The sequence below is a fragment of the Homo sapiens genome, chromosome 18 (genome assembly GCF_000001405.40).
Source record: "Homo sapiens chromosome 18, GRCh38.p14 Primary Assembly".
NCBI classification, from domain to species: domain Eukaryota; kingdom Metazoa; phylum Chordata; class Mammalia; order Primates; family Hominidae; genus Homo; species Homo sapiens.
The window spans coordinates 54,164,104-54,185,865 of record NC_000018.10 but is presented as its reverse complement, the minus strand read 5'-3'; the positions used below and the strand labels follow the sequence as shown (position 1 = coordinate 54,185,865).

Below are 21,762 nucleotides of genomic sequence, written 5' to 3'. Positions count from 1 at the left end.
ATTAAAATTTTAAGGTAGTGATGGAATTTGTAAAACCTAGTTATAATAGGGTAGTAGCCAGCCATTTTTGTATATAGCATCAGTGTATTTGATGATTGCTTGTCTTTTCTTTAGATTAAAAAGACCCCTGTAGTGGGGAGGAGGGAACTCTGCCAGTTATCAGACTATTATCCCAAACAGTAATCACTGAAATATCCTTATTCAGCTAGATGCATAAAACACATCTCAAGGTCTTTTTAGTCTAATTGAGTTGTAATTTTTGCTGGTAACAATGCCTTTCCTAGTTTACCCCCTTCATAATGTGAAGAACTACCATTTCTATTTCTTATTTCTTTGCTGCTGTCATCTTTGATACTATCTGGTCTCTTGATTGCTTCTTTTTCTCTTTTAGCCTCAAACCAAAGAAGCTTCATCTTTGAACTATTACTTCTTCCTTTTAATTATTAGATTATAGAGGGCTAAAAGGCTTTTGTGTTTTTGACAGTCTTTGAATAGTAATTTCATTTCTTATAGAATATTCACTTTTTTGTAGGGGTAATTGTTTAACAGTAAAGAAGCAGATTTGAATCTTCCACTTGATCTTAGATTTTTTTCCTTTTATTTCATTTTGCCAATTCCCCTTTCAAGGATATGAAACTTTCCTTTACCTACTTCCAGAAGCCAGCCTTTTCTTTTAGAAGGAATGTTTTAAATTGTATTAGAAGAAACTTTCCTGATAAAAGATAAATTTTGTAAATGTGCAGTTTAAAGTCACTGTGTATGAAAAGTGTGTAAAATAGATCAGCTTTCAGTTGCTAAAACCCAGAGGGTTACTATTTCAGGCATTCTAGCAGCATTTTCTTGTTTCTAATCTCTAACAGTTATTTCTAGTATAGTCTCATTATAATGTTCTTAATGACTGACAAATAGATAAGCTAAAGCAGAGTCTCATGGTGGATATATTCCTTTGCTCTGGACAGAAAAATTGACTGTCTGGGCAGGGAAAATAGAGGATGTGTCCTATAACACTTAAAAATATTACTCTGGGTACTGTTGGGAAGATGCCATATACAAAGTGCCAAATGAATAGTAGAGTAGTACAGGCAAGTGCTATAGGTGTTTAAGAAAAGTGAGGTTACTGTTGCTAGGAGGCTTGAGGAAATCTTTAGAACAGGCATGAAACATATGCTGGACATATTTTTAAAATGTAAAAAATATTTTCTAACAATATTTTATAATGTTTCCTTGGGCTAGATTCCCAGAAATATAATTAGTGTGAATATTTACATTTTTGGTACATACTAGCAAATTGATTCCAAAGGGTTGTACCAAATTAAAAGACTATCAATAAGTTAGATACTTTCCAGTTTCAGCTTACCTTCTATAGCAGCAGTCCCCAACCTTTTTGGCATCAGGGACTGGTTTGGTGGCAGACAATTTTTCCATGGACCAGGTGAGGGCGAGGGGGATGGTTTTGGGATGAAACCATTCCACCTCAGATCATTAGGCATTAGATTTTTATAAGGAGCATGCAACCTAGATTCCTCACATGCGCAGAGCACAATGGGGTTCGCGCCTCTGTGAGAATTTAATGCTGCCTCTGATTGGGCAGGAGGTGGAGCCCAGGTGGTAATGCTTACCTCCTGCTGTGCCGCCCAGCTCCCAACAGGCCACAGACCGCTACCCGTCTGTGGCCTGGGGGTTGGGGACTCTTTTTCTATAGCTTTGAGTATTATTAGTACTTTTTTTTTGGGTGGGGGGAAGTAATTCAGTAGTTTAAAAGGGCATTTTATTTTAAATTTATATTTATTTCAATATGTATAAAGTTAAATAGACTGAGGCATTTGTGTTAAATTTTAAAAATGAGAAACATTTAGAGCTTTTTTAACTAGGGAGTAGCTTTTATATTACCCATCTGAACTGAACTTGAAGGAATATCCTGGTGGCCTAAAGCTAATTCCAACACCTGTACTCTGCAGATACACTTCCTCCTTCCTTCTCAGAGACCCCATCCAGTGGAATATGTCACTTACCTTTTATCTTCCAACTGTCTCTAAACTGGCTTCTTCCCAAAGCATTTAAATATACTCAAATCCACCCCATCTTAAAAAAAATTATCCACTTCACTGCTCCCCTTTTAGCATTTGTTCCCTTTCTTTTCTTGTTAAAGTCAAACTTCTTGGCATTGTGTGTGTTTACTATCTGCTTTACCTCTTACTCAGTATGTTTATGTCTCTGAAATAATAGCTTTTGTTCTCACTGAAACTGTTCTTTTCAGAATTGCTGATGTTCCTTGTTAAACTGAATGGACAAGTTTCGGTCTTTAAATTTCTTGCCCTGCTTTAACGTTAAACAATATGACTACCTCTCTTTCTGAAACATTTGCTTTCATTCTTTGACTCTACACTTTCTTTGTTTTCCTTCATACTTTTTTTTCTGAATCCCCTTCTTAGGTTCTTTCTCTATCTGTCTTTTAAAATGTTGAGGTTTCCCGGGGAATACTATGCATTCTTTTTTGTATGTAAACCCTCCATGGGTAATTTCACTCATTCTCATGGCTTCAGTTATCATCCATATGTTAATGATTTCCAAATTTATATCTTCATCCTGAGCTTCAGTCGTTTGTGTCAATTCTCCTACTAACATTGTTCACTTGGAAGTCTCATCAGCACCTGTAATCTATTGCTTTATCTCTATGAACTCCTTTGTCATCCAATCAAATCTGCCTTTTATTAGATGTGCTTTATCTCAGTGAAAGGACCACTGTCCGCTTGGCTGCCTAAGCTGGAAACTTGAGCATCATCCTTGATTCTTCCTATCTTTCACCCCAAGCGTCTATTTAGCCAGCAAGTCCTATCGATCCTACCTCCTGAATGTTCTCTTGCTCCGTTCTGAGACTAAGTAACTATTATTCATTTCATCTAATCTCTCTGCTTTTTGTCTTTTTTTTTTTTGGAGACAGGGACTTGCTTAGCTACCCAGGCTGGAGTGCAGGAGTGCAATCACGACTCATTGCAGCTTCAACCTCCTGGGCTCAAGTGATGCTCCCACCTCAGCCTCCTGAGTAGCCGGGACCACAGGTGCACACCACCATGCCTGGCTAATTTTGTGTTTTTCATAGAGATGGGATTTCACTATGTTGCCCAGGGTGGTCTTGAACTCCTGGGTGCAAGTGCTTCCTGTCTTGTTCCCTTACTTCACTCTTCATATTGCAGGCAGGTGTTCCTCTGGCATGATGGTCTGATAGTGTTAATAGTGTTATACTGCTGAAAACCCTGCAGTGCTTTCTGGTAGCTTTTAGGGTAAATTCAGAACACTTTAACATGACTGCCAAGCCCTTTTGCTTACCTCTCTGGCCTCACCTTCTTCTCTTGTTCTACATTCAAATCATATGGAACATTTTTCAGGTTTTTGCATATGCTATTCATCCCCTACCCCTGACCCTTACATACCTTGATCAGATTTCATGCTGTTTCCTTTCTCTCCTTCAGCGGCTGTTTCTTACTCATCTCTCAAGTGACATCAAGAACTTAGATGTCACTTCTGTTCAGAAAACCCCTGATTTACCAAGTTTGGATTTAGAGACATTCCTTAGTGTTTCTTCTTTCTTCTTTTCTGATCACAACTATATTAGGTTATTCATTGCTTTATCCCCAATTTCTCTATTATGTAAGTGCTTAATATGTAAATTAGTTGAATTAGTGAATTAAATTATTCATTCATTCAAAAATTATTTATTGAGCCTTCACCTTGTACTTTTCTAAACAATGGGATACTGCAGTGAACAAGACAAAGTCCCTGCTGTCATGGAACTTTCCATCTAGTGTGAGAATAGGAAGTGAGTCAGACAAATACATGTATAGATAATGTATCATGTTGTGTTAAGTGCAATGAAAAAAACACCAGAAGAGTGAGAGAGCATGTGGTCTTCAAAAGCAGAGAAATATGGAGGGAACATTCTAGACAGAAGTCTGTCAATTGTATATAGTATGAGGACTGACAGGGTTAGGAGATCACTGAAGAAACTCTTACAGAAGTTAGGGCATAAGCGATAAGGTGTGTTTTATGCTGGTCATACAATAACTGATGGCCGGGCACAGTGGCCCACACCTGTAATCCCAGCACTTTGGGAGGCCGAGGCGGGTGGATCACGTGGTCAGGAGTTCAAGACCAGCCTGGCCAAGATGCGAAACCCTGTCTCTACTAAAAATACAAAAAAAATTAGCTGGGTGTGGTGGCAGGTGCCTGTAATCCCAGCTACTTGGGAGGCTGAGGCAGAGAATTGCCTGAACCTGGGAGGTGGAGGTTGTAGTGAGCCGAGATCGCACCGCTGCACTCCAGCCTGGGCGACAGAGCAAGAATCCGTCTTAAAAAAAAGAATAAAATAAATAATTGACAAAATTTATTGACTTATCAGCTCTGCCTATATGAAGAATCTTAGAATAAAGTGGGAGAATGATATCTTTGACAGAAATATGGACATAATAAAGGGTAGCTCAATATTTTTTAAAAATAATAAAATATGAATTTGAGTGGTAGAAAATTTATACTCTTAAAGTAATTGTTGCATGTTGAGCTAGTAAAAGATGATGGGCTAGAGCCCAAGAGAGTCTGGAGATATGGTCAGTCTTTATGCAGGGAAGAATTGCAATTGAGACATTACATGTGAATTTTTAAAAATTAAGGAATGAGGCTAGATGCAGTGGCTCAACATCTGTAATCCCAGCACTTTGGGAGGCTGAGGCAGGCACATTTCTTGAGGCCAGGAGTTCAAAACCAACCTGGCCAACATGGTGAAAACGCATCTCTACTAAAAATGCCAAAAATTAGCCGAGCATGGTGGCGCGTGCCTGTAGTCCCAGCTTGGGAAGCTGACGCATGAGAATTGCTTGAACCCAGGAGGCAGTGGTTGCAGTGAGCCGAGATCAGGCCACTGCACTCCAGAATGAGACCCTGTCTCAAAAAAAAAAAAAAAAAAAAAAAGAAAAAGAAAAAATTAAGGAATACATAGGCTGTTGGTTCATAGTTACCAATAATTGTGTATTTTTCTAGTTCATTTTAAAAACATGACAACTGTCATGAGGGAGGATCTGTGAACTTTTTTTATTTCTCTAAGTAACATAGGAATACAGATGAAAAAATCGAATAGTGTTTTTAAAAACTACTTCTCAAAACAGTAGTTTACTACTCCAGTTAAGTCTTCTAGTCTCTGCCAGAAACATTTATTCTTAATTCTTATCATATCTCTTTATAATTATCTTCATATTTCTAATTAATATACTTGTTAGGCTGTCTTTGTTAATTTTAGCCATTATTTCTTTACTTTCCCCAAGGATAGGTGACTACATAGTTCTCTCTCTCTGCCGTCATGCTCCCAACCTAGATGTATCACAATTTTAGGTAAATAGGTTAAATAGTCAGGGTTTACGTTATTATGAATGGAAATTTTTCTGGGTAGGGTAAGTAATGCCCTGCCACTCCTTTCTGTCATAATTCTTTGTTGTTTTTAATCTTAATAACTCTATGTTAGGTTTTCTAATATAATTATAGTTAACCTTTTCTGATTTTAAAATTTCTGCCACATGCTCATCAAAAATATTTTCTTTATGCTGCTAGGATGTAAATCTGTGGGGAGAATTAATATTTTTATAATATTAAGTGTTACAGTCCACGAATCTTAGGTATTCCTCCAGTAAGCTTTTATAGTTTTCAGTCTAGTGATCTTATATATCTTTAATTGATTCTTAGATATTTGAGGTTACTGTAAATGGTGTCATTTATAAAATTTTTATTTTCTAATTATCTTTTGCTAATATTAGAAATGAATTGATTTTGTGTATTGACTCTGATTTCAGTTATCCTTCTAAATTATTAAGTCACCTATGATTCTTTTGGACTTTACATGTGAATAAACATGTCATCTGTCAATGAGAGTTTTTCTTTCTTTCCTTCTTTCTTTCTTAACAATATTTAAACCTTTGATTTTTTTGTCCTTTTTCTATTTTATTAGTTAGAACTTCCAATACAATGTTGAATAGAATTGATGGTAACAGATATTCTAGTCTCATTCGTGATGTCAGGGAACATTTTTAATGTTTCTCCATTAAATGTGATACTTGCTCTAGGCTTTTTTGTAAATATTCTTTGTCAGATTAAGGAAATTTGCTTCTCTTTCTGTTTTACTAAGAATATTTCTTATGAATGGATATTAAATTCTATCAATTATTTTCCTCTACCTAGTTAAGTGATCAAATAATGTTTATTTATTCTGTTAATAAAGTGTATCATATTGATTGGTTTATGTGATTAATTTCACTGTTTGATGTTTTTGAATGTTAAACAGATCTAGAATTCCTGGAGTAAGCCCAATGTGGTTGTAATGTATTATCATTGTTATCACTGTTTAGAGTTGCTGTTATTAGGTTTAGGATGTTTTGCCTTTATATTCATGATTGAAATTGACTTGTACTTTTCTTTTCTTGTAATTTGCTTCTCAAGCTTTAGTATCAAGGTTTTCTGGCTTTATAAAATGAGCTTGGAGGTGATCCTTCTTATAGTCTCTGGAAGAGTTTCTATAAAATTGGCATTTTTAAAAAACAAAATTTTCTTTTTGGAATAATTAATTGGGAGGTCATCTCAGCCTATTTTTTTTATGGAAAAGTTTTAACTTACAGATTCATTTTTTTTCTTTGTTTTTGAGACAAGGTCTCGCTGTATCGCTCAGGCTGGAGTGTAATGGTGTGATCACAGCTCACTGCAGCCTTGCCCTCCTGGGCTCAAGTGAGCCTCACACCTCAGCCTCTAGAGTAGCTGGGACTACAGGTGCACACCACCACGCCTGGCTAGTTTTTAAAAATTTTGTTACTTTTTGTAGGGATGGGGTCTCACTATGTTGCTCAGGCTTCAATTTTTAAAATAGATACATGGAAGAATATTCATTTTTTCTTTCTAGTTTTTTTCATGTGATTTTCTAGGAATTTGTGCATTTTATAATTTTCAAAGTTAGTGGCAAAAGATTGTTTATATATTTCTAGTAATATTTTTAATGTTTACAGTATCTATTGTGATATTCTTTTCTCTGATATTGGTAGTATCCAAATGAAAAGTGGAATGAGGTATTGGGGAGACCTTTCCTAACAAGTTTTGAACTCAGTCTGTATATGAGCTTTTCCTCATTGAAATTCAAATCCAATTCTATCAAATTTCTTTTTATAAGAAAACATTTCTTTTATAGAAGTTATTTCTTTATAATGGATTATGCCTTGTCTTATTTGACACTGTTGCCTTGAAGTAATCTTATAGTACTATTGGGATCTTTGTTTTTTTTTATGCCTGTATTTGTTTGCTATTTCTTTGCACTTTCTTTTTATTTCCAGCTTTCTGAGTCTCTTTATTTTTAAATCTGTCTCTTGCATAAACATACAGTTGAGTTTTTAAATTTGTTTTAAAATATGATCTGAAGGTCTTTTTCATAATTGGTGAGATTACCCTTACATTTATTGTTTTACAGATATGTTTAGTCCTAATTCTGTCACTGTGTTTATATACTGTTTTTAATATTTTGTGATTATTTTTTGGTATTTCTGTTTTTGTTCTGTGGTCTGGGTTTTTCATTTAAATTTATACTTCTGGTAATTTTGAGGATTTATAACCTGATTTTAATTCTAGTGGTTGATTAATGTCATATTCTAAATAGTGCATATGTACTTCTATTTCTCGATGTATTGGTATTAAAAAGGAAGAACGGCTGGGCATGGTGGCTTATGCCTGTAATCCAAGCACTTTGGGAGGCTGAGATGGGAGGACTGCTTGAGGCCATGAGTTTGAGAGCAGCCTGCCAAGAAAGTGAGACTCCATCTCTACAGGAAATTTTTTAAGAAACTAGCTGGCGCAGTGGTGTGGGCCTGTAGTTCCAGTTACTCGGGTGGCTGAGGCAGGAGGATTCCTTGAGCCCCGGAGTTGCAGGTTGCAGCGAGCTATGATCATACCCACTGCATCCCTGACTCCTGCTTGGGCAACAGAGTGATACTCTGTCTCAAAAAAAAAAAAAAAAAAAAAAGAGAGGAAAAAAAAAATAGTGCCTGTTAGTGTCCTACAGAAAGAATAGGAATTAATTTAGTGGCTCACGCCTGTAATCCCAGCATCTTGGGAGGCTGAGGCGGGCGGATAACGAGTCAGGAGATTGAGATCATCCTGGCTAACACAGTGAAACCCCCGTCCCTACTAAAATTACAAAAAATTAGCCGGGCGTGGTGGCGGGCGCCTGTAGTCCCAGCTACTCCGGAGGCCGAGGCAGGAGAATGGCGTGAACGCGGGAGGCGGAGCTTGCAGTGAGCCGAGATCGCGCCACTGCACTCCAGCCAGGGCGACAGAGCGAGACTCCGTCTCGAAAAAAAAAAAAGGAATTAATTTACACTACCGAGATTAGTTTCAAGAAAGCTTTTCTTAAGCGCACATCTTCTTATAAAGAACTAATGATAGATCCTTATCTATTAGAGATCAAAGTTCCTGCAGTCGAGTGGGTTTTGAAATCATCAGTTTATTCATTTCACAGCAGATATTGCTGATTAACAGGTGCTATATAAACAAAAAAGTCGAACATGCCCCCATCTTCATAAAACTTTGAATCTGAAAATCAACACTGAGCAAATAATTCCAAGTATACTGACATGTGACAAATATGTGAAAAGTAGTGAAGGAGCACATCTAAGTTCCTATATGAACTTGCGTATCAATAAGAAAATGATTGTAGCTTTTTCTGTGGGAGGAGCACATGAAAAATCTAGGCACCACGAATGATACTCTTATTCCATGGTCATCTTAGGATAATTGTACCTTTTCAGGCACTTGACAAGTATTGTATACCCACTGTGTGTAAGTTAGAGAGTATTCATGGCAAAATTTAGTCAAACAACTACAGCAAACGCTTACTGCACCTCTGTCTTCATCAGCCCTAAAATTTGCCCTTTGGTTTATTCATCTATCCTGTTTAGCCCAAATTATCTTTTGCCTTAACGAGAGATCACATTGTAGTTTGCACAGCCACACGAAGTAACCTTCTCCTTGGTTTATGCAATAATTTTCTTGTCATTATCTAGCTCTTTCTTCTTAGGCCACCCTGACAAAATAAGAGGGTAGCTCATACTTGATCTTTGATGTTTGCAGGCCATGGTATTTAAGTTGTTTTTGCTGACCATAACTAGACAATTCAGATACTATATGGGGCTGATTGGAAATAAAGCAGTTTAGAAACTGGACAGTGAATTTCTTCTTGGCAGGAAACACCATTCATCCACGTAGCCCTAACCCAGTGTCTTGTATATTTAGCCTTTTGAGAGTGACTAGAAAGTACACACTTTCTGGATTTTGCTTTAATCGACAATTATGTGACAAGAGTCTCTATTATGTGATTAGATTTAGTAACTGTCTTATGAAAGTAAGATATTCATTCAATTGATGGAATCCTAACATTAGAAAAAAATTCTGAGCAATTTGATAAAAGATTTGTATTCTCAAAGAACTTTCTCATATTTTATTAGTGTTTTGATAACCTGAGATAGATCTGACAGTTACTAAGACTTCTAGTTTACTAGTGAAAATATATGCAAAGAGTTTAAGTACTTTGCCCAAGCAAATCTATTTAGTGTTTGAGCCAGGATTAAAGCATTTAGCTGCCAAACCAGCGCTTTCTATCACCCTGTCCTCCCTCTACTTAGCCAAATATTCATCCCACAAACATCTGAGTGCGAATTTTGTGTCTAGCATCATGCTCTTGACAGATGTAGATTGCAGATAAAACTCTAAAAATGGTGAGATTTTTAAGGTAACTTTTGCTTCTTCTGTTTTATAAGGCATTAACACTGTTGTCCTCATATACTTTAAAAAGTATATCACATATCTTACGCATTTAAATTTTTTTCATTAGAAAAAAGAAAAGAAATGCTTGTAGTCTAAATCTTTGACAATTAATGTTAGACATTTTAATTTGTTGCTGAATAGTTGTAAAGAATACAGAAACATACAGAGAACCATCACAAAATGTCTTCAGTCCCCTGACGGCAGGCGAATGTATCAGTGAAGTAGGACAGGGGAGGCTTGAGCTAGGAATTGGATTTGGTAATTAGGTGACTGTGACCTTGGGCAAGGTCAGTGTTCATATAAATAAGAGGGGCAGAGCCTGGGTTAGAAGGAAAAGAATGAATAGAATGTGAGGAAATAAGACACAAGTTCTCTCTACTAGTGGGAGGGGAAGATAAAGATGGCTTGAGGGGGAAGCAGTGTGAATAAGGACATGTTTTAAGTTGTCAGTGTTCAAGTGCATCTGTCACTTAAAAGAAGAAGTCCCAGGGGAGGAGGGGAAAAATGGAAAATGTGAGAAGAGAAGTTGGGCAAATTGATGGGGCAAGATGAGGAGGAGGTAGAAGATGTGATCAGGAGCACAGGTGGTGGGATAACCTTAGGAGGGCAGCAGGATTCTTATTTCTCTAAAATAGGAGGAGATCTGAGGTGGAAAGGACGATGTTCATAGAGGCTCTAGACCTTCAGGCTTCACGCCTGGCTTTTCTAGTCAGTCTGAAGTTGCTCTGTAGGCTTCTTGGCTTGGGGGTTAATATTCAGCTATGGTGTCTAAAATAAACAATAAAAAACAGGAGTTTGGATATGTAGGAATTTTAGATGAACTTCCCTTAGTTTCATTATTGAAGTTCAGCATGTTCCTCTGGTCAGTTCACTTTGTTCTAATAGAGATTATAATTTCAAAAGGGAAGATGCTTTTTAAGACAATACATGAGAGCTAAAATAAGTTTTAGGTTTTTGTGTGGCTCAGTTTGGTGAATTTTCTCCAGTTTTCATGTAAGAATAAGCCAGACCTACTGATAGCTACCTGCTAATTTATGGAAATTAACATGTTCCAAATAAACCTGTCTGTTCTATTTTGCTGCTGTACCTACATTTGAACACTTAAAGTCATTCTAAATGGAGCCGTGCCTTTCTCAGTAGTCAGTGACAGATTCACACATGTGTGGGAACCCCGATCCTGTGGTAAATAAGAGAGCCCCTTCTAAAATCTAAAATCTCTCTGTACAGACACTTTCTAGTTTATAGGTTGTGATATAAAATTTCATGTTTCATTTATTTGGAACTCTACATCTTCCAATAGAAATGATATTATAAATGGCTCTAGTGTCCCAGACCGACCCATAAAATACCATTTAACCTAAAGTATATCTGAATTGTTAAAAATAATTACAACCACATTTCTAGCAGCAAATACATTGACTATCAACTTTCTGAGGTAAGAAATGTTTCTCCCAGTTGTGCTTTATCTTACTTTCCAGAATGACTGGATTCTCCACCACTCCTAGTTGTCTGGCAGTAAAAAAAAAGAGGCACCCACCTCCAAGCCATTTAGATTGGTTCTTCTAAGGCCCATGAATGAGGAGCTGGGAGAGACACTACTGAGAACTGAGAGAGGAGCTTGCAGTGATGGTGCATGCTGGCAGGGGCCCTTCTTTCTGTTTCTGCTGTGAGATCTGGGCACCTGCCTTTATAAACCTCCTATTTCCCTATCCTTTTTCTCTTTCTCTGGACCAGTGGTTCTCAACTAGACATGATTTTGCTTCCTCCATTTCCTCTTACTGCCTCACTTCCCACCTACCTGGGTACATTTGGTATATCCAGAGATATTTTTCGGTTGTCACAACTAGGGTGTTTCTACTGACATCTTGTGGGTGTATAAACCAAGCAAGCTGATAATCATCTACCCCCAAATGTCAAGAATGCCAAGACTGAGAAATTCTGCTCCAGACAGTTGCTACTGGTTAAGGTTGTTTTTGCCTTTTTTGATTCATTGCAGCATAGAAATATAGTCTGTGTTCCCTGATTCTCTCCCACCTTCTATTCTTGAAACAAGCTCACAGCTCTTTTGAGGTTTTTCTAAGGGCTTTACCATCATCATAACATGAAACTAGATGGACTAAAAATAACAAGAAGATTACAGTTTTAGGAAATCTTAATTAAAAGCTATCCATGCTCTCCACTGGGCTTTAAATAGAGCAAAATTCTGATCCTTTTCTAGGCTTCAGTCCTTTCCTCCCCGTGATACTGGTTTCCTCATTCCCTGGTCTTCCAATCTTCCTTACTAATACTGCTCCACCATGGAGAGCCTTAGTAGTGATTCTGTTCCTCCCAATGAGAAACAACAGGGATGAAAAATCCTTGCATTATTTTAATGAGGAGTTAAGGAAAGGTTCCCTTCCTTATTGCATAGATTGTATTGCATAGATCTGGCCAGAACTGTTTTCTGTTGTTCTCCTTCTTTTAAGAAAGTTTCAGGATGAGATTACATCCCAGCCTTTCCTTACGTACTGCTGCACAGCACAGGGACCTCCTTTCTCTACTCTTCTCTCCTTCTTTCTACTGCTGCGTCATACTTGCCACCAATGCCAGCTTTGTGGACATGTGACCTGTGCAGTTACACAGGGCCTTGTGCTTAAAAGAGCCCCTCACTTAGAAGGAAGGGCCATGCCTGGTTTAATGCTCTGCTGCCATACCCTTGAAATTCTTAATTTTTTTTTAACAAGAGGCCTCACATTTTTAATTTGTTCTGGGCCCAGTAAATTATATAGCCAGTACTGCTTACCAAAGTACTCCCAACTGACCTTAGGTCCAGGTGAGAGGCAGTCTGGCCTGGAGGAGGGGAGGAAGAGGAATAATTTTAAAATATTCGTAGTAGCAAGAAATCCCCAACTGAAAGGGAAGGGAAGGGAAGATTCATATTCATGTGCTCAGACTCTTCATTTGCTAATACTTACCTTTCAGAATTGATTATTTTTGCTTTGTTTATACTTCCTAATTTTAATAAAATGACCAACTACTTATTAAGTGCTATTGTATGATCAGCAATGTGCTACAAGCCACAGGTGAAACGAAATAGTAAAATGATAGTTGCTGTGTACTGGGCATGTTCAAGTGTTTATAACGCTTCCTCATTTTGTTCCCATAACCCTTTGAGATTGCTTATATTGTCCCATTCGATATAGTATGAAACCGATATTTAGAGAGGTCAATTGTCCAATTTATAAAGCTAGTGAAAAAGCAAGTTTGAACATTGGTTGTTCAGATTCTAAAACCCAATCCCATTCACTCTGCTAATAAGTTAGATATTCCCGTCCTCAGGGTTGACTGTCAAGTTGAGGTCGTGAGTATACAGGGAAAGTCAGTTTCATTTTGTCTAGTGAATTTTTTTTTTTAACACAACAGAGACACATCAGTACTTTTCAAATTGGATATAATGATTAATGAAAATCGTGCTAGGATATATGATGTAGATGCTTTTCAGTGTGGTCATGAGAAGTAGCTATTAGTATAATTAATCTGAAACAGTATTCTTAAGAAAAAATTCAAAAGCCTTCAGTTATATATGCAAATCACTCCCTTTCTTTTTCCATTTTTTGAAATACTTGCTCCCATACCATCGTTAGTGTCGCTTATCTGGAAGTGTTTTCTTGGAGTGGGGTCTCTTTAATTTCTATCCACCAAATAACAATTTCATGTTCTATGTGATTGATATTTGTAATTGTGGTCTAAGAACGCTAATTTGCAGAGAAAATATGTTACACCAATTCTTTATTTTTTACCATGTGAGCTACTTCTCATGACAATTTGATATCCCCATAAAACTCTATGCTGGTTTTAGCTTCAATATATTATAAGCCTGTCTTCTCAATTCTGCCTAAGGAAGAGGCAGCATCAGGCACAGATCACCTACAATTGAGACTTATACAGTATCTATTACTTAGGAGTTAAATGGATTAAGAGTAATTTGATAGTTCTCTTAAAGTTTACTGATCTATTATTATCAGCCTTTGATGGCATGAGTAGAAGTGTCTGAGGCTTGTACTATATAACCTAACAAGAGCCAAACATGTAAATGCTCTTTCAGAGTTTTTGTTAAGAGAAGGACTGTTTAATCACACTGACCTGAGTTTTAATTCCAGCTGCACCACTGATTAATTGTGTAAGTTATTTAAGTTCCCCATGCTTCCGTTTCTTTATCTGTAAATGGGAGTAATATCTTCTCCAAAATGCTGCAGGAAAGTTTAACTGAATTTCTGTACAGAAGGTGCTTAGCACAGTGCCAGGCCTATGGAAAGGTGTTGATGGCTAAGTGGTAGTTTTCCTCCTCTTCCTCTCCCTATTTCATCAAGACAGTATGACTGGGCATAGTTTCACTGGGTAAGACAGAACATTGGGTAAGCCCTTTCTTCATTTAACCTAAACAATTAGCTCTACTTTTAAATAAACTTATCTGCTTTTAAATAAACATATCTCCTCCTGCAATGAAATAATAGGAAGGCAAATGTCTTCCTCTTGTTGTCTGCAAGGAAGAGGATGGAATAATATTTTTTAAAATCTTTCAGCATAGTGAAGAATAATACTTGGAGATCTTGGTGGTCACTACACCCCCACTACGTGCATGCTTTTTTTTTTGAGATGGAGTTTTGCTCTGTCACCCAGGCTGGAGTGCAATGGTGCGATCCCAGCTCACTGCAACCTCCACCTCCTGGGTTCAAGTGATTCTCCTGCCTCAGCTTCCTGAGTAGCATTACAGGCATGCGCCACCACGCCCAGCTAATTTTGTATTTTTAGGAGAGATGGGGTTTCACCATCTTGGTCAGGCTGGTCTCGAACTCCTGACCTCAGATGATCTGCCCGCCTCGGCCTCCCAAAGTGCTGGGATTACAGGTGTGAGCCACCACACCTGGCTACTACCACTCTTTCAACACAAACCAAACCAGTCTTTCTCATAACTCGAACCTGCATCAGAATCACCTTAAGTATTTGTAAAAAAAAAAATAAAACTAGCTTTCTAATCCCAGATCTATTGAATAGAATCTCTGGGGATGAGGCCTTGGAATATATTTTTAAAATAAGCCACCTTGGTTATTGTTCTTTATAAGATCTTTAGAAACACTGACCTGCACTCTGTTACCTCCTTGCCCATACAATTTCTTGGGTTGGAATAGTCTTTTCTCTTCTACATGCTTATAGAATTCTTACACAATTTTCAAGGGCTACCTCTTCCTAGAAGCCTTTCCAGGTCTTCCCAAATTGAAGTTAGTTTTGGATCTTCATTATTGCAGTCGGCCTTGTAGAGTTTTGCATGTTTTCCACCAAACACCTCCTGGAGGGCAGCGATTGCCGATTATCCTACCAAGCATCCCCAGTGCAAGAAAAACACATTGCATATCATGGGCATTCAAAGAGTATTTGTTGAATATTGTTGATCCTCAAATTCCTTTTTCCTAGTAAGCCATCTCTTTTGTTCTTCACTAAAGAGTACAAATCTCTTAGAGTAATATTAATAAACTCGGAGTGATGAAGGTAAATAATAATCAACATTATCAGCCTCGGTTCCCAGAGCATCAGAATAGGGATCGGTGTCTGTGAATGGTGGCGAGGAGTTGTTTGTGATCCCTGTTTCTTTCTCATCCTCTTTAGATATTCTTCATAAGGCAAGTTGAACAAATCCCTCAAAGTCCAAGTTAAATATATAACAATTATGAAAAGAAAATGCTATCGTGGGTTCATTTTACTTTCAGTAAACAGATTTGATCATTGACCTCACTAAAGAAGCAGTTTTTGTAATACACCTTCATGTTTGTTCTTTGGGACACTAAGTGGGGTAAAGTACATGCAACTATGCTTCCGTTGATGTCCTTACTAGGAGAACTGTGTGGAGAAAATGTGTAGAGATGAACTGCAGTGACTACTAAGATGGTTTCTCCAAAGATGCTCTGCACTGTCAGTTAAATTTTAGGCACTTTTGTGGCTTTAAGTGACTTTTAATTCCATCCCATGTTTCTCCCTCAATCAGCTGGTTTCCTGGATAGGACATTGCCCAGACCATTAGTGTTATAAGGTGATAGGCATGTGGAGCTAGCCAATGTTCTAATATACTGGAAGGTAACAAAGAGAACAAGATATTAGATGTACTCAGAGCGTCTGGTTAGTGAGGATTAGAGGGAGGTGTAATAACTGAGGGTGATAGCACATTTTGGGAGTTTCTCCAAATATTAAATCACTGTTCCTTATACCTATTCTATTTATTGGTTATTTGGCCTCACACCAGGCAGCAAGATTAAGCTGAGAAAACCACTGGATTTGGCAGGGGAAATCAGATTTTCAGTGAGTAGTTTAGGATTTATGACAGCAGTAGTGCTTATGAAGTGTAGTGCAAGAGACTAGGTAGCCATCATAGAGGGGGAGTCCTTACATATGTTTTGAATATTTTGAATATTACTCACCTTTTGAATATTACTGTCTTTGGACTTCTAATGGTTGAGAAAGTAATAGAGTGGGGAGACCTCCAAGTGAACAGAATCGCCAAAGAAAAACCTACTCACCCAAGTGAGTACATCAGGAAATGTTAAACTTAGGCAAAGGAAGACCTTTTCCTTCCCTGCTCCCTCTGAAGCACTGAGGCCCATAGTGGCCAAAGATAATGAGAAAAGATCATGGAATTTGGTGAGAGGAGCTGACTGACTATTGGAGTACGTTTAGTGCAAGTTGGCTAGAAAGGGGGTGGGCTAATAAAGTTGCAGTAGACTTGGGAAAGGGCGATAGTGCACATTGGGCCATTCCTTGAGGAACAGGCTTGGAAAGAAAAGAACATGGTCATTATATAAGCTGGATAAAGTCTCAGTGTATTAAAAACCAGAAAGTACAGTCCTAGCACCCCAAAGAAGTTGCTTGTGCTGAGCCTTTGTTGTCAGACTCCCCTCCATCCCAATCTGGGGCAACCTTCCCTATAGGTTTTCCTTTTCTGGGTATCATAGGAGTGGAATCACACAGAGTGGGAAAGACTGGCTTCTTTCACTTAGCATAATGCCTACTGTATATACCTTTAAAATGCATTTTAAAATGCAAAGAATCCTTGCCCTCGTCCCCCGCCCAAACAAATAAAACAGGGATCTGAGAAGATGGATGTACAGAAAAGGTGAGTTAGGAACATACTGAGATGTAAACAGACATTTACCGCCTGAGGACTGTTTCAGTTTTCAGTGAAATTAGGTGAGCTTCTTAGCTTTGAGTGAGTGTTGGAAAGGTTGGAGAGGAAGTGACCTTGACCAGTTAAGTGTTTTCTTTTTTTAAACTAGCTTCCTTTCCTTCTCTGACCTTTTTCACTCCCCATTTCTCCCCTGGGTTGCGGATGGGAGAAGATACACACACACACACACACACACACACACACACACACACACACACACACAAATATGCATACATAAATATATATATATATATATATATATATGTATCTCCATTTTCATGGCATAACAATTTTATTATTTTTGCTCCTGGACTCTGGAAATGGTGCTTTTACTATTGAAAGAGCATACGCAAAATCTTAGTTTCTTATGTCCTCTCTTATAAAGAGGGCATCCACACATATCAGATTCTAACTTCAGCTGTAGTTGCGGGGTATCAGATGACATGTGGTGGTACCAGGATGTGATATAAGCTAGAGCCATATACTTGTATTTCAGTCCAGGATTTATTTTTACTAATTTTTTCTTTATAAATTTTTTGTATTGTTTTCCTTGTTACTGATAGAAGTTTGAAAGTTGAGAATTAAAAATGATAGAATAAAACAAATTATTTTTTAATATCTGGAATTGGAACTTTTAGATGTAAAATATAAACAATGTATCTGTTCATAATTCCCATGCTTTTATGTGGTAGTGTTGATTTATTTTTACAAATCAGTGACTATGAGATTAATAAGTGCTTTTATAATTGTATATATATATACACATATATATAAAGTTTAATTATATTTAATTATAAAAGCACTTACTAATCTTATCCTCACTAATTCTCCTAGATGCTTTGTCATTAGAAATTTAACTGGGTTTTGTTTTCCTTTTTTTTTTTTTTCTATAGCTGTGATATTCAAAACACAGATGATGTTATTCCACCAGAGAGCAAATAGAAAGCAGGCAGGGCAGGTTTTCTTGGGACATTTATTGCATTCATCAATTATTACCTCCACCTTACTACTTTTCATCCATGATGATTAATATATTTATATCCTCATATTGTTGACCTGCTTATATTGACAACATATTCTACTGATAATGTGATTAGCAGGGAGATGTAAGGAAATGTTACCATATACCAAAGGCCTTCCTTGGTGCTAGCGTTGTGCTTATTACAAATTCAGCATATTGCTCTTCTGACATAAATAGAATTACACTACTTTATCTTCTCATTTGTCTGGAGGACAATTATCTGATACTTCACATATATCCAGAAGTCGGAATGTAAGCCCCAAAAGCCCTCAGAGTGGCCACAGTTTGCTAAAAGCAAATGCGATAAATCTTGTGCCCAGTATATAATGGATACTTTATACATATTGCCTTATTTAACTCCCACAGTAATCTTTTGTGATAGCCATTGTTGCCATATTTATAGAAGAGAAAATAAATTGAAGATTCTGAAGAGGTTATAGACCTTGTCCAAGGTCGTCTATCTAGAGATGGAGAGTGTTGCAGCTGAGATTTCAGCATGGGTTTAGACCTTGTCCAAGGTTGTCTATCTGGAGATAGTGTTGCAGCTGAGATTTCAGTATGGGTTTGTGTGTCCCCCAGATCCTCACGCTGAGTCCAGTTGCTCCCATTTTCAGTCATTCCCACAAATATTTTTTCAGTACCAACTATGTGACAGGCCCTGGTATCCAGGATTAAAGACAGTTATACAGAGTCCTATAGAATTCCTTTATCTGTTTTTTTTTGGCTGCAGTAAATGTGAAACAGACTAGAAAAGAGATGAGGCATGAGGACAGTGACATTGTCTCTCTTACTGACTGTCACATCTGCAGGGTGAGCACAGCACCTAGTAGGAGCTCAATAAAGATATGTTGAATGGATGAGTGATATTAGTGAAAAGTAATAACTAGGAGAGAGAATCAAATATGAAAAGGATATAAAATAAAAACTATAATTGCCTTGGACCATTTAGTGTTTGAATAAGCAAAAGGCTCCATAGCCCCTAGGGCACGAGGAGCCACTCAGTGTACTCACTGATGCCCGTAATGATGACCTGGGGCTACTAAGTGACCATGGTGACCCAGGCCCTGTGCAGCAGGGAAAGAGTCACTCATGAATGTGACATCCAGTTTAAAAATAAAGGAGGCATCTAAAACATTTTAGAAAACTTTTCATTGAAAATGGTCTTTTCTCCCTTAAAGTGTGCTAAAGGGCTAAACTTCATTGTACTGGAAAAATCCCATATTGGAGTAGCTCTTTCTCTAATGATATTGGATAAAGGGGGATAACACATCACGTAATTTGTTTTCTTTTCCTTAATAAGTCGTAGCATTAAAATTTCATGCCAGGTGAATCTTTAAAAAATTCAAATTATTTTCTTTGGAAGATACCTTATAAGAAACTATACATAGTATACAGCATATAACCATCTATAGTATTGTAACAAGTGAATAGGTTATGTAAAACAACCTTTTTTGAGCAATGCCATCTGAGAGGATTATGATGTGTGGAAATAATTCATGTTTGGAATATCATTTAGCTTTTTATAAGGAAAAAATGAGGAAATTATAGGAAACTATTGAAATGATTTAAATTTCATTATTCAACAGCATCGATGCGCTACTTTCTTGTTTCAAAAATGTATCTATTAACAGTGATATTTTGCCTTACAGCTTTTCTGGGAGAAGAGGCTACAAGGACTTAGTGCATCAGATGTAACAGAACAAATTATAAAAACCATGGAACTACCCAAAGGTCTTCAAGGTATTATCTAAGTTCAGTTGAGCAGACATTTATCAAGTACCTACTGCATGCCAGGCACTCTGTTAGATGCTGTGGATTCAGCAATGACTGACAGGAGGCCTTTGCTTTGGGAGGTCATATGCCTTGCTGGATGACGTACCTCTTGTGTTTTAGTAAAGCCAGGAAGAAGGTACATGAGAAACTTGTATGTTGCAGGGATGCTGCAGTGTAGTATATTATCTTAGATTTTTTTCTTTGTAAAAATTTTGGCTTTAGGTTAGGTTCATCATAGAAGCTAACCCATGTGCTGCTTTTAGCACTGGATGCGGATGAGTAACAGAATTTCTCAAAGCTTCCTGCTTATAGCAACATCTGGCCCTACCACCTGCTCTTTCTCTCATCCTCTTCCCAAAAGAACAACCAACAGCTCTCCTTCTGCCCCTCCCTCCACAAACTGGTGCTCTAAGTAGAAGTGGGAACAGATGCACTTTGGTCCAGCAACAGCAGCCAGTGGGATCTGGGGTGGAAAACTCAGTCACTAGTCTACATTTCATGCTGTATGAGAACTCCAAGTTCTAGAGAAGAGTTATTTTTCAAGTATTAAAACTTTGGCTTCTAAAGCTTGATATATTGTGGATTGCTCAAAAATCCTCATAATTCATGGTTAGATTATTGCCTTATCCCTTTATGTTCTTGGAAATGTTGGCCTTAACTAGTTAAACAGGTTTAGGACTTTAAGCATTGCATTTAAATGTGACCATGGTACCAGTATCTTACAAGTAATCAAAGTGTGCAGTTATTAATTCTCTGATTTTGGATATTTTGTTAGGTTTATGAAAAAAGCTGTTAAAGCCACAGATACAGCTTGCTTGCATTGGCTTTTTCTTTGAATCCTGAGACAAAGAAGATAATTGTTGAGATATTGCTGGAAATTAATGTTAAAAGCTACAAGGAGAGACTATACCAGTACTCTAGGAATACATTAAAAGGGATACTTGAGTATAGTCGCTTCACAAAGTCTTACCTCATTAAAATAATTAACATTGCTTGAGGAAATATAGCCAACTTTTTAAAAGTTTAGTACCTTGGAAAATGCATTTTAAAGTTCTGGTAAAGTATTATTAAAATGCTCAGCTATAAGCTTACAGCAAGCATGAGGATTTGTTTTTTAAAGTAAGAAAAAATGCTCAGCTATTTTGTTACTATTTCTTTAGTGTGAATTCTTTAGTGTGTCATATCTATTAAGTAGATATATTATCTTTTGCTGCTTTGTCTTATGTCAGTTTTACATATATGATCCCAAATGAATATAAAAATATCAGTTGTTTTATGTCACATAAAGTTTGCTCAGCACATTGAGACATTTCCTTTAACTAGTACTTGTTTCTCATTGCAGGAGTTGGTCCAGGTAGCAATGATGAGACCCTTTTATCTGCTGTTGCCAGTGCTTTGCACACAAGCTCTGCGCCAATCACAGGGCAAGTCTCCGCTGCTGTGGAAAAGAACCCTGCTGTTTGGCTTAACACATCTCAACCCCTCTGCAAAGCTTTTATTGTCACAGATGAAGACATCAGGTAATGCAGTTTAACATGACTTCATAAACTTGGGTTTTTACGTTTGGGTAAATTTTTTACTGTTCATTAGGTTCAGTGGCATATCTAGTAAGTGATATATCACCTAGAAAGTTATACTTTTCTTTTTTAACAGAGTTTTTCAGAAACTGATAGAAGGTGAAAAAAGACCATTATAACAAATACATGCTTGAAACGGGTATAAATGCTGCATGCCAGGGGTATCGTCATGGTCCTGTCCAAAGGACAGACACCAGATCAGTTATATTCCCTAAGCATCATTTTTACAGTGTCTTTTGCAATTTGGGATTCTGACTTTCTATTCTAAAGAACCTCTTTCTGCCAGACACAGTGGCTCATGCCTATAATCCCAGCACTTTGGGAGGCCGAGGTGGGAGGATTGCTTGAGCCCAGGAGTTTGA

At 37.4% G+C, this 21,762-nt stretch overlaps 1 protein-coding gene across 1 annotated transcript in view; it reads left to right on the top strand.

Moving 5' to 3' along the window:
• The window catches only part of MBD2 (methyl-CpG binding domain protein 2), a 73,064-nt gene that overhangs the window by 38,804 nt on the left and 12,498 nt on the right, over positions 1-21,762 (top strand). The window contains exons 4-5 of the mRNA NM_003927.5: positions 19,700-19,790; positions 21,166-21,343. Coding sequence (NP_003918.1) covers positions 19,700-19,790; positions 21,166-21,343 — 269 coding nt within the window. The remainder of the gene's footprint in view (positions 1-19,699; positions 19,791-21,165; positions 21,344-21,762) is intronic.